Here is a 13083-nt window from a genome sequence, read left to right on the forward strand (position 1 = left end):
CAATTAGAAACAAAATGGGTGATATTGCACCTGATATCACAGAAATGCAAAAGATCATCCAAGGCTACTATGAACGCCTTTATTTGCACAAACTAGAAAATCTAGAGGTGATGAATAAATCCCTGGATATATACAATCCTCCTAGATTAAATCAGGAAGAAATAGAAACTCTGAACAGACCAATAACAAGTAGTGAGATTGAAACAGTAATACAAAAATTTACTAATGAAAAAAAGTCCAGGACCAGATGGATTCACAGCTGAATTCTATCAGGCATTCAAAGAATTGGTACCAATGTTACTGAAACTTTTCCAAAAGATAAAGAAAGAGGGAATTCTCTGTAAATCATTCTCTCTTTTCTCTTCCCTCTTTTTTTTTTTTTTGGAGATGGGGTCTCACTCTGTTGTCTGGGCTGGAGTGCAGTGGTGCAATCTCAGCTCACTGCAACCTCCACCTCCCAGGCTCAAGTGACCCTCCTGTTTCAGCCTCCCAAGTAGCTGGGACCACAGGTGCGCACCACCATGCCCGGCTAGTTTTTTGTGTTTTTGGTAAAGACAGGGTTTCACTATGTTGCCCAGGTTGGTCTCAAACTCCTAAGCTCAAGCAATCCACCCGCGATGACCTCCCAAATTGCTGGGATTACAGGCATGTGCCATGGCGTCTGGCCCCTTCCTAAATCATTCTAGGAAGCTGGTATCATCCTGATACCAAAACTAGGAAAGGACATAACAAAAAAAGAAAACTACAGCCGGGCACAGTGGCTCACGCCTGTAATCCCAGCACTTTGGGAGGCAGAGGCAGACGGATAACGAGGTCAGGATATCGACACCATCCAGGTAACACGGCGAAACCCCATCTCACTAAAAATACAAAAAAATTAGCCGGGCATGGTGGCGGGCGCCTGTAGTCCCAGCTACTGGGAGGCTGAGGCAGGAGAATGGTGTGAACCCGGGAGGCAGAGCTTGCAGTGAGCCGAGATTGTGCCACTGCACTCCAGCCTGGGCGACAGAGCAAGACTCTGTCTCAAAAAAAAAAAAAAAAAAAGAAAGAAAAAGAAAAGAAGAAAGAAAACTACAGACCAAAATCCCTGATGGACACAGATGCAAAAATCCTCAACAAAATACTAGCTAACCAATTCCAACAGCATATTAAAACGATAATACAGCATAATCAAGTGGGTTTCATACCAGGGATGCAGGGATGTTTTAACATACACAAGTCAATAAATGTGATACATCACATAAACAGAATTAAAAACAAATATCATGTGATTATCTCAACAGATGCAGAAAAAACATTTGATAAAATCCAGCATCCCTTTATGATTAAAACCATCAGCAAAATTGTCATAGAAGGGACATACTAGTAAACCAAATTCAGTGTGATACATTATATCAGCAGAATGGAAGACAAAAACTATATGAACATTTCAATTGATACTGAAAAAGCATTTGATAAAATTCAGCATTCCTTTATAAGAAAAACCCTCAAAAAGTTGGGTATAGAAGGAACATCCACCTCAACATAAAATCCACATACAACAGACCCACAGCTAGTATCATACTGAATTGGGAAAAACTGAAAAAAGCCTTTCCTTTAAGACCTAGAACATGACAAAGATGCCCATTGTCACCACTGTTATCCAACATAGTACTGAAAGCCCTAGCTAGAGCAATCAGACAAGAGAAAGAAATAAAGGGCATCCAAATTGGAAATAAAGAAGGCAAATTATCCTTGTTTGCAGATATGATCTTATATTTGGAAAAACCTAAAGACCCCAACAAAAAACTAGTAAAACTGATAAACAAATTCAGTAAAGTTGCAGGATACAAAATCAAATAAAAAATCAGTAGCATTTCTATGTGCCAAAAGCAAACAATCTGAAAAGGAATCAAGAAATTAAGCCCATTTACAATAGCTACAAGGAAAATTAAATTCCTAGGAATTAACCTAAGCAAATAAGTGAAATATCTCTGTAATGAAAGCCATAAAACATTGGTGAAAGAAATTGAAGAGGACACACACACACACAAAAGGAAAGATATTCCGTTTTCATGGATGGGAAGACTAAATATTGTTAAAATATTCCTACTACCCAAAGCAACCTATGGATTCATTGCAATTCCAATCAAAATACTTATGACATTCTTCACAGAAATAGAAAAAAAAAATCTTAAAATGTGTATGGAGCCAAGCAAAAGACCCAGAATAGCCAAAGTTATCCTGAGCAAAAAGAACATAATTGGAGGAATCACATTGCCTGACTTCAAATCATACTACAGAGCTATAAGTAACCAAAACAGCATGGTACTGGCATAAAAACAGACACATAGACTAATAGACCAGAATAGAGCATGCAGAAACAAACCCATACATCTCCAGTGAACTCATTTTCAACAAAATTGCCAAGAACATACATTGAGGAAAGGACAATCTCTTCAATAAATAATAGTGCTGGAAAAATGATATACATATTCAGAAGAATGAGACTAGACAACTACCTCTCACCATATACAAAAATTAAATCAAAATGGATTAAAGACTTAAATCTAAGACCTTGAAATATAAAACTACTCCAAGAAAACATTGAAGAAACTCTGTAGGACATTGGAGTGGGCAAAGATTTTTTGAGTAATACCCCACAAGCAGAGGCAATCAAAGCAAAATTGGACAAATGGGATTACATCAAAATAAAGACTTCTGCACAGCAAAGTAAACAATCAACTATAAAGTGAAGATCCATCCCACAGAATAGGAAAAAATGTTTGCATACTATTCATCTATCAGAGATTAATAACCAGAATAGATAAGAAGCCCAAAAAAACTCAATGGGGAAAAAAATCTAATAATTCGATTAGAAGATGGGCAAAAGATCTGAATAGACAAATGGCAAACTGGCATATGAAAAGGTGCTGAACGTCACTGATCGTTAGAGAAATGCAAATCAAACAACAAAGATATCATCTCACCCCAGTTAAAATGGCTTTTATCGGCTGGGCGTGGTGGCTCAACGCCTGTAATCCCAACACTTTAGGAGGCCGAGGCAGTGGATCACCTGAGGTCAGGAGTTCAAGACCAGCCTGGCCAACATGGTGAAACCCCATCTCTACTAAGTCTCTACTAAAAATACAAAAAAATTAGCCAGGTGTAGTGGTGCACGCTTGTAGTCCCAGCTACTCGGGAGGCTGAGGCAGGAGAATCACTTGAACCCAGGAGGCAGAAGTTACAGTGAACCAAGATCATGCCATGGCACTCCAGCCTGGATGACAAGAGCAAAACTCTGTCTCAAAAAGAAAAAAAAAAAAAGGCTTTCATCCAAAAGACAGGCAATAATAAGTACTGGTAAGGATATGGTGAAAAGTGAACTCTTGTACACTGTTGGTGGGAATGTAAATGAGTACAACTACTATGGAGAACAGCTTAGAGGTTCCTCAAAATTTAAAATGTGATCCAGCAATCCCACTGCTAGCTATATACCCAAAAGAAAGGGAATCAGAATATGGCAAGGATATCTGCACTCCCATGTTTGTTGCAGCACTATTTACAACAGCCAAGATTTATGAGCAACCTAAGCGTCTATCAACAGACGAATAGATAAAAAAATGGGGTACATATACACAATGGAGTACTCTTCAGCCATAAAAAAGAATGTGTTGCTGTCATTTGCAACAACATGGATGGAACTGGAGGTCATTATATTAAATGAAATAAACCAGGCACAGAAAGACAAACTTTGCAAGTTCTCACATATTTGTGGGAGCTAAAAATCAAAACAATTGAACTTGTGAAAGGAAAATCTTAGGGCCCCCAAATTGCTAAGCTAAAGGGAAAAGTCAAGCTGGGAACTGCTTAGGGCCAACCTGCTTCCCATTCTATTCAAAGTCACCCCCCTGCTCACTGAGATAAATACATATCTGATTGCCTCCTTTAGAGAGGCTCATCAGGAACTCAAAAGAATGCAACCATTTGCTTCTTGTATCTACCTATAATTTGGAAGCCCCCTCCCCACTTTGAGTCTTCCCGCTTTTGCTTTGAGTTGTCCCACCTTTCCAAACTGAAACAATGTTCATCTTGCATATGTTGATTGATGTCTCATGTCAAACTGTGCTCTGACCACCTTGGGCACATGTCGTCAGAACCTCCTGAGGCTGTGTCACAGGTGCACGTCCTTAACCTTGCCAAAATAAACTTTCTAAATTAACTGAGACTGTCTCAGATTTTTGGTGTTCACAAACTCATGGAGATAGAGTTTTCTTGGAGTAGTTTTATAGTTCGAGGTCTTGGATTTAAGTCCTTAATCCATTTTGATTTAATTTTTGTATATGGTGAGAGGTAGGGGTCTCGTCTCACTCTTCTGAATACATATATCATTTTCCCAGCACTATTATTTATTGAAGAGATTGTCCTTTCCCCAATGTATGTTCTTGGCAATTTTGTTGAAAGTGCGTTCACTGGAGATGTATGGGTTTGTTTCTGCATTCTCTATTCTGTTCTGTTCGTCTATGTGTCTGTTTTTACGCCAGTACCATGCTGTTTTGTTTACTTATAGCTCTGTAGCATGATTTGAAGTCAGGTAATGTGATTTCTCCAGTTATGTTCATTTTTCTCTGGATAACTTTGGCTATTCTGGGTCTTTTGTGGTTCCATACACATTTTAAGATTTTTTTCCTATTTCTGTGAAGAATGTCATAGGTATTTTGATTGCATTGAATCCATAGGTTGCTTTGGGTAGTAGGAATATTTTAACAATATTTAGTCTTCTCATCCATGAAAATGGAGTATCTTTCCTTTTTTTGTGTGTGTGTCCTCTTCAATTTCTTTCACCAATATTTTATGGCTTTCATTATGGAGATTTTTCACTTATTTGTTTAAATTAATTCTGGCTGGGCACAAATCCCTGTTAATTCTCAGGAGCCCCAAATGTGTAATTTTATGGAGCCTACACACCTACCCACCCACCCACTCAATACTGGGAACTGGAACTCCTGTTGCATAACTCATTTTATTAAACATCTAAAAGTGAGTAAATTATAAACATTTTAAATTACTAGAACACTTTAAATTTGATTCTGATTGCTAGACTGATCTTTGTGGATGGATATCAGACCTGATGCGTGCCTAGCTGTCATAGTCAATAGAAGGATGAATTTCCTCTATTTGCTGACAACATTCTTTTTTTTTTTACATGAATGTTCATAGCTTTATCCATAAGAATCAAAAATTAGAGACAACCCAAATGTCTATCAACAAGGAAATGGATATACAAATCATGGCATATCTGCAGTGAACCACTACTCAGCAAGAAAGAGGAACCAACTACTGATACATGCAACAATTTGGATGAATCTCAAATGCATTATACTAAGCAAAAGAAACCTTACATAAAAGAGTGCAATCTGAATGGCTCTTTTTGTTCCTTCAACTTTGGGGTACATGTGCAGGATGTGCAGGTTTGTTACATAGGTAAACATGTGCCATGGTGGTTTGCTGCATAGATCATCCCATCACCTACGTATTAAACCCGGCATCTATTAGCTATTCTTCCTGATGCTCTCCCTCATGCCCCCCACCCCCGACAGGCCTCAGTGTGTGTTGTTCCCCAACATGTGTCCATGTGTTCTCATTGTTCAGCTCCCAATTATAAATGAGAACATGCAGTGTTTGGTTTTCTGTTCCTGTGGATAACATTCTTTAGAGCATAAATTGTGGTCCTATTTTTAAATTATTAGTAGAAAAAAGTGGCTTAACATAAATTACAAATGTATTTTCAATAGTAACTGGTACATACTAGTTATTCAATAAAGTTACTAAACGAAAATAACATCAGTGACTTTTTCACAATCTATAATTGGTTTATAAGATTGCCACCCAGCAATTGAATTTCAGTTTTCTGGAAGGACATTTTGCAACTAAATCTTACACCGGCAAGTCATGCAGCTCTACAATGATGCTTTGGGGTGCATAACTAGGCTCTTCTTTGGCCATGGTAGATGATATCAACAGCTGCCTTAAAAATGTTCCAGCCAAAATTAGTTCAGCCCTGATTTATGATGTGGAACTCTGGAAATACAGCAAAGAGGGCTTTTTAGAACTAAAATAGATTCAATTATTATAGAGCAGCTTTCTGAGGAAAACTTTCATTTTGCTTGAAATGAAATGGTCAGAGAAGATGGCAATAACATAGCTTAACTCTGATTTCATAATTTGATGTCGTCTACTATTTCCATATGGTTCTATCACCAGAAATATAAAATAGCAGCATTACAGGTATTATTATTAATAACTTGCCAGATTGCAACCTCTGTTAGCCAAAAGCCCAAGAGAAGTGACATTTAAGGAAGATTGTCCAAGGGGCTTTTCATTTCTTTATTCTCAATTTTATCCTTGGATCACATTAGGCCACTAGACAGCTACTACTTACTAGTCTGGCACATTTTGCCGACTCTTACATTGAGTTATTCTTAAATGCTGTAATTTCCCTTTTTATCAAAGGTTACTTCAAGAAACAGCTTTGTGAAACCGCAGCTTTTGTTGTAAAAATAATTAAGAATATCAATCATGACATCATCTAAATGTCTTCTATTAAAAAGTCCTAAATGAGGAATTCCTTTTAGAATTCAAGGCTAGGAAAGCTTTTTCTCCTGAAAAATCCTTCCGCTTTTCTGATAAGGGTCATCTAACCATACATCTTTCACCCTAGCTCAAAGATGCATGGAGAAAACACTGAAGTTGAAGCCTGGTTATGTTGGCCTTCAATTACACATTTGTATTCTCCTTTCAATTAGTCCTAATTTTCCACAACTATTGGTAGTTTCAATAAAGAATATACACTTTTAGTGTCTTCTGTGTCGTCATTTGTAAACCTTTTTGATTAAAGCAGTGTATGAATTTTTCACATGTATATACATATACATTAAATATAAAATGGTAATAAACTTAAAATTTAAAGGAATTTATCTATCTACAATCACATACACAAGCATGCATGTGGACACATACACATGGCATCAGTTTTTCTGTTAAAGATACATACCTGTTTCATTCAATTAATCTAATAACCTAGTAGGAATCAGGCACTGTAGCCTGGGCATGGTGGCTGCATCTAGTCTGAGTTCCATGAGGACAGGGATACATGTGTTTTGTTCAATTTATCCCAACCACGTTAAGTAATACCTGGCACCCAATAAATATGTTGAATAAACAAATAGCTGTTAAGTAAGTGCTATGGGTGCACCTAGGAAGGAATGTATAATTCAGTGTGAAGGCATGAAAAAAGCCTTCACAGAGCCTCAAAAACTGGGAGATAAGTGTGAATGCCTTGGAGTCAGGCATGGTGGTATGTGCCTGTAATCCCAGCTACTTGGGAGGCTGAGGCAGGAGGATCACATGAGCCCAGGAGTCCCAGACCAGCCTGGGCAACACGGCCAATAACCCATCTCTAAAAAATAATAAATAAATAAAAATAAATGCCTTGGTAATACTGAAGATAGAACCCATAAGTTGGTCTGTACATGACACTCCCCTGGCATCTGAGGTAATCTTAGGTTATTGTTCTCCGTGTATTCCAAGCACCTTCTGTTCAGATACTGCTACTTAAACATATGCTGAGGTACCAAATAGCAGAACATTCATACAGAAAATGGCAGGGAGAAAAAAGCAAACGGAATGAATCTTAAACAGGAAAGATTTCACTTTAACTTGTAAATATAACAATTTATAATATAACTTAAGTATTGTATTTATTCAGAATCCAATGCAGAGTCGCTAATACCCCATTACTTAGCCCTTTTAAATTGTGGTAAAATACATATAACTTTAAATTCCCATTTTAATCATATTTAAAGTATCCAATTCAGTGGCATTAAGTTCATTGATAATGTTGTGCAACACCACTACTATCCATCTCCAGAACTTTAAAAAAATAATTCCAAACGGAAATGCTGTATCCATCAAATCATAACTCCCCTGTCCTCCCAACTCAACCCTCGGTAACACATACTTTTCTTTCTATCTTTATGAATTTGCCTATTCAGGTAAATGGAATCGTACAGCATTTGGCCTTTTGTCTGGCTTATTTTATTTAGCATAACATTTTCAAGGTTCATTCATGTTGTAACATATATCAGGATTTTATTTCTTTTTAAGGCTGAATGACGTTCCAATGTACGTTTATACCATATTCTGCTTTTCCTTTCATCTGCTGACAGCCATTTGGGTTGTTTTCACCTCTAGTCTCTTGTGAATAATGATGCTAGCACCATTAGTGTACAAGTATCTGTTTGAGTCCCTGCTCTTGGGTATATACCTAGAAGTAGAATTGCTGGATCATATGGTTATTCTATTTAGTTTTTTGAAGAACTGCCTGTTTTCTACAGGCAGTTTTTGCCATTTGACATTCCCACAAGGGCTCCAGTTTCTCCATATCCTTAGCAACATTTGTTATTTTCTGCTTTTGTCTTATTTTCTATGAAAGCCCTCCTAATTAATAAATTATAATGAAGAATCTTCTCTAATTGTGATTTTGACTTACATTTTCATCATAACTAGTGATGCTGAGCATCTTTTTGTGAGCTTATTGGCCATTTGTGTTTCTTCTTTGGAGAAATATCTATTCTTTTGCCCAATTTTGAATTTTGTTGAGTTTTAGAAATTCTGTTTTTTTTTTTAAGAGACAGGGTCTCGCTGTCACCCAGGCTGGAGTGCAGTGACATGATCATAGCTCACTGCAGCCTCAGACGCCTGGGCTCAAGTGATTCTCCTGCCTCAGCCTCCCTAGTAGTTGAGACAACCAGTGTGTACCATCACATCCGCCTAATTAAAAAACAAATTTGTAGAGACGGGGTCTTGCTATATTGCCCAGGCTGGTCTCCAACTCCTGTCCTCAAGCGATACTCTGGTCTCAGCCTCCCGAAGTGTTGGGATTACACGTGTGAGCTGCCACACCCAGGCAGGAATTCTTTATGTATCCGGGATATTAATCCCCTGTCAGTTATATGCTTTGCAAATATTTTCTCCCACTTTTAGGGTGTCTTTTCACTCTGTTGATAGTGTCCTTTGATGCACAAAAACTTTAAATTTTCATGAAGTCCAATTATTTTTGCTTGTTGCCTTGCTTTTGGTTTCAGATCTACAAAATCATTACCAAATCCAATGTCATCCAATGTTTACTTCTAAAAGTTGTATAGTTTTAGCTTTTATGTTCAAGTCTTTGTTCCATTTTGAATTTTTCTACATAGTGTTACAAGGCGAGGGTCCAACTTCGTTCTTTTGCGTGTAAATATCATTTTTCCAGCACCATTTGTTGAAAAGACTGCCTTTTCCGAATTGAATGGTCCTTTCACCCTTGTTGAAAGTCATCTGGCCATATGTGAAGGTTTATTTCTGTGCTCCGTAGTCTAGTTCAAACAGGTTTTGACTACTAATAAAAGCAAATCACAATTATACTGTTAAAATTAAATATTGCTACCTTCAGAAAATTGCAGAGATAATATTCCTGGGATTACCAGTGGTGGTTAACATGTAGTAACCTTCAAACCAAAATATGGTTTATGCGATCATGCAGTATCGCAATGATGTCATGTGACAATGTTAGACCATTTGTGATAAAATGAAAGGAAAACGCAGTGGCATATGCCTGTAATCCCAGTACTTTGGGAGGCCAAGGAGTATTGCTTGAGCTCAGGAGTTCGAGACCAACCTCGGCAACATGGCAAAACCTCATCTCTACAAAAATTAGCTGAGTGTAGTGGCATATGCCTCTAGTCTGAGCTACTCAGGGCCCTGAGGTGGGAGGATTATTTGGGCCCAGGAGGTTAAGGCTGCAAGTGAGCTGTGATCATGCCACTGCACTCCAGCCTGGGCGAGAGTGAAACCCTGCCTCAAAAATTAAAAAAAAAAAAAAAAAAGAAAAATTAGGCATTTTATTATTTTCAAAGAATATCTCTGTTTCAAATTATGTTGTTGATCTTGTTAGAAAGATAGAATATGTTCTTTGTTTATGAAAATAAATAAGAGACTGCCTATGGATAATTTTTAGCTGAACCCAAAGCCAGACATTGCTCTCAAATGTTTTCATATACTTTTATCATTAACACAGTTTTGGAATCTGAATACTTAACTAAGAAATCTGATTGTGATATCTTTCCAAATATTTAATTTGTATTGCTTTTTGACAAACTTTTGTATATGGTTCCTGTGGACATGAATAAAGTATTTCCAACTATGTTGTATTTAACATTTTTCCTTTCCCATCCTCTAATCCACATTAACACTCTCTACAACGTAACAAAAGACACAGCAAAACAAACGAATTGTGGTTTAGCTCATCAAGATGCCCTCTTTCTGCTTGAGCTGCGGTACAGAGTACTGTATATACAAAGAAAATATTTTTTACTGTTTACCTCTTAGGACCTATCTCTTCACTCCAGATTTAAAATCATAGTGTTTGGAGAAAAGCCACGAGTTAGAAACTCAATGTTTTATGATGATGAAAAGGTAAATATTTTAAGATACAGTGTTAGTGAAATTTAATACCTATGTATAATTGGTTATGAAGGATTAATAGAATGAGATAAGAACTAAGCATCTTGACCTATATGTAAAAATCAATTTGACATCTAAGGTAATGCAATTAATAGTATCTGCTCACTGTGCTTTTACTTCTAAAATCCTAGCATAAAAGTAATCAATCAGGCTGTTATAATGATATTTACATTATCACTTCTCTGCAAAAACCCTGGGTCCCTTTTACCTCTCTCCTTCTATTATCCAACACTATCCTAATCCTGGTAAGTCCAAATATCCCTTTGTATATACTTGCTGCTAGTAGCTGAAGATGGTCAAAACCCACAGTCATTCTGCTGGGTTTCAATAGAAATATATAGTCTGTGATCTCAATTATGCCTGATAATCCTTTTACAGTTTTCTAATACATTTGCTCTTCTACTTTTCAAGACAACAACTATTTTCTCATCTGTAGCAATTTATACCTTTCCTAAGACCTTTCATAAGCTATCTCATATTATCTTCTAGGAAGGTAGGATGGAAGGTAGTATGTATTATATAGCCCAGGAGACTGAGTCACAGAGGTTAAGACACTTGATGGCACAGCCAGTGCTACCCTCAGAGAAAGGAGTTTCCTATCACTGGGAGTATAAAAGCTCAGTCAGGGATGTTATGAAGAAGATTCAGGTATTCTATGGGCGGTTCATCCCCTTCTCCTCCTGTCCTTTTAATTTCTCTCTCTGTCCTCCAGCATGAAAGCATGATAAAGTCTCCTAAAGACACAAACAAAGCCCATCTTGACCCTTCCCAGTCTATGACTTTACTTTCTCTTTCCTCTTCCCTGTATTACTAAGTTTTTTTCAAAGAGAAGTTTTTACTCACTGTCTCAACTTCCTTGACTTCCATTTCCTTCTTTCCTAGAATCTGGCTTTTGTTGCCACTGTTACCCTGAATCTGCTTTTGCTAAGACCATCTTGTAGTTGTCAAAGCCAATGGACACTTTTCATTTTTTCCCTTTTCTGACACCCATAGCATTTAACATTGTTGGCTGGCTGCTGGGTCTCTCTGAAACTTTCTTCTTCCAGGACACTATGCTTTTTTGGATCTGTAACTCTACTTCTCATTCTCATTCAAGCCCTGTCTGTTTCTGACATGTTGGTTTCTCCCAAAGTTCTATCCTCAACCCCCTTCCTTGTTGTTCTCATCCACACTTGTGGATTTCTCTATCTCATACATGCCATGTTCCAAAACATCTGTAGCCCAGTCTTTCTTTTCCTGAGCTCCAAACCCCTATGTCTCACTCCCTATTAATTACACCAATTTAGAAAACTATCAAACTGGCCTTTAAGACAAATTAAAATCAAATTGACTATTTATTCTTTACCCAGTGACTTTTGGCCATAAAACATAGTATTAATTATAGATACTAACTGTACTAAAGTTCTAGATCTCAACTATCAAAACTGAAAAAAAAAAAACCACCTAAAAGTCAACAGTATTTTATACACTTGAAAGTCCACAATTTACACAAGCACTTTCATTCTAGCTTTGTAAATTTAGAGAACAATTTAGTTAAAATTACACATTGTACTGGAACAAGAGTTTCTATTTCCCTATCCTGATTCTATTATGATTACTGAAGTCAAATAATTTGATATGACATGATTATAATGCAGTAAAACTTGTTGACAAGTCTTACCTGGAATTAAAAAATATTTAAAAATTAAAGCAAACGTAGAAAAAAATAAAAAGCATTGTTTGATTCTAACAAAATTTATTATGCAGTAATTACAAAGGTTAAAGACTCTTCCATCTCAAATAAAAATAACAGTTATAATTACACACATAATATAGTACCTTATAGAATGATTCCAATAAATATCACAGGAAATACAGTGCATTTTCAAGTTGGAGAGACAAATACTTTCTCATTCACAGTGTTTGACATAGGAAAGCCTATTTACATAACAATCTGTATAAAGTCATGCTCTTAGTAACAGTCTATACAGAGCTGTGCCAACACAATTCTTTCAGAATGTGAAGTACCGGGCAAACCACTCCTGGCGCTGGGGATCTGGAGAAGCCACTGGAGAAGCTTCACTCTGAGCAGGACTGAATTCATAAAAAGAGAGACATGTAACCCAGCATTAAGTCATTTTGCAAAATGAAGGCAAAAGCACATAAAACATCAGCATAGATTACCACAACGGGTTCCCCATGTTGTAAGTCGTGTTTTAAAGATTTGCTACCCCCTCTATACTAGAATCGGTTCTCCACTCCATGAGAGCATAAGAGTGCATCAGCAGCTCAAATGAAGTCAGTTAAGGAGGAGCCACATCACAACAATCACAAAGAACAAAAAACAACTGCAAAAATGTCACCTTCTTTGAATAAAAAATTCAGTAAGAATTGTGGGAAACGAGAGAATAAAATAATGGTCCTCTCTTTCAGCACCTTTTCTCTTTTAGCTGATCGTACAGATGTGTCCTTAAATATAACTAAAGTAACTACTAGTATTTTTTACTATATGCATTTTACATTAAATTTTCATTTCATAATTCCCTATGCAAATACTCCAGG

General features: G+C 37.0%; 1 protein-coding gene and 1 long non-coding RNA gene across 4 annotated transcripts in view; one reads left to right on the top strand and one right to left on the bottom strand.

The window, feature by feature from the left end:
* Positions 1–13083, top strand: part of LOC124901389 (uncharacterized) — a 96627-nt gene that overhangs the window by 12655 nt on the left and 70889 nt on the right. The gene's annotated exons all lie outside the window — the stretch shown is intronic.
* FAM184A (family with sequence similarity 184 member A) overlaps positions 12194–13083 on the bottom strand; it is a 189366-nt gene continuing 188476 nt past the window's right edge. For all 3 annotated transcript variants that reach the window (NM_001288576.2, NM_001100411.3, NM_024581.6), the window contains one exon: positions 12194–12615. In NM_001288576.2, coding sequence (NP_001275505.1) covers positions 12534–12615 — 82 coding nt within the window. In that variant the 3' untranslated portion in view covers positions 12194–12533. The remainder of the gene's footprint in view (positions 12616–13083) is intronic.

Source organism: Homo sapiens, chromosome 6 (assembly GCF_000001405.40).
Source record: "Homo sapiens chromosome 6, GRCh38.p14 Primary Assembly".
NCBI lineage: Eukaryota > Metazoa > Chordata > Mammalia > Primates > Hominidae > Homo > Homo sapiens.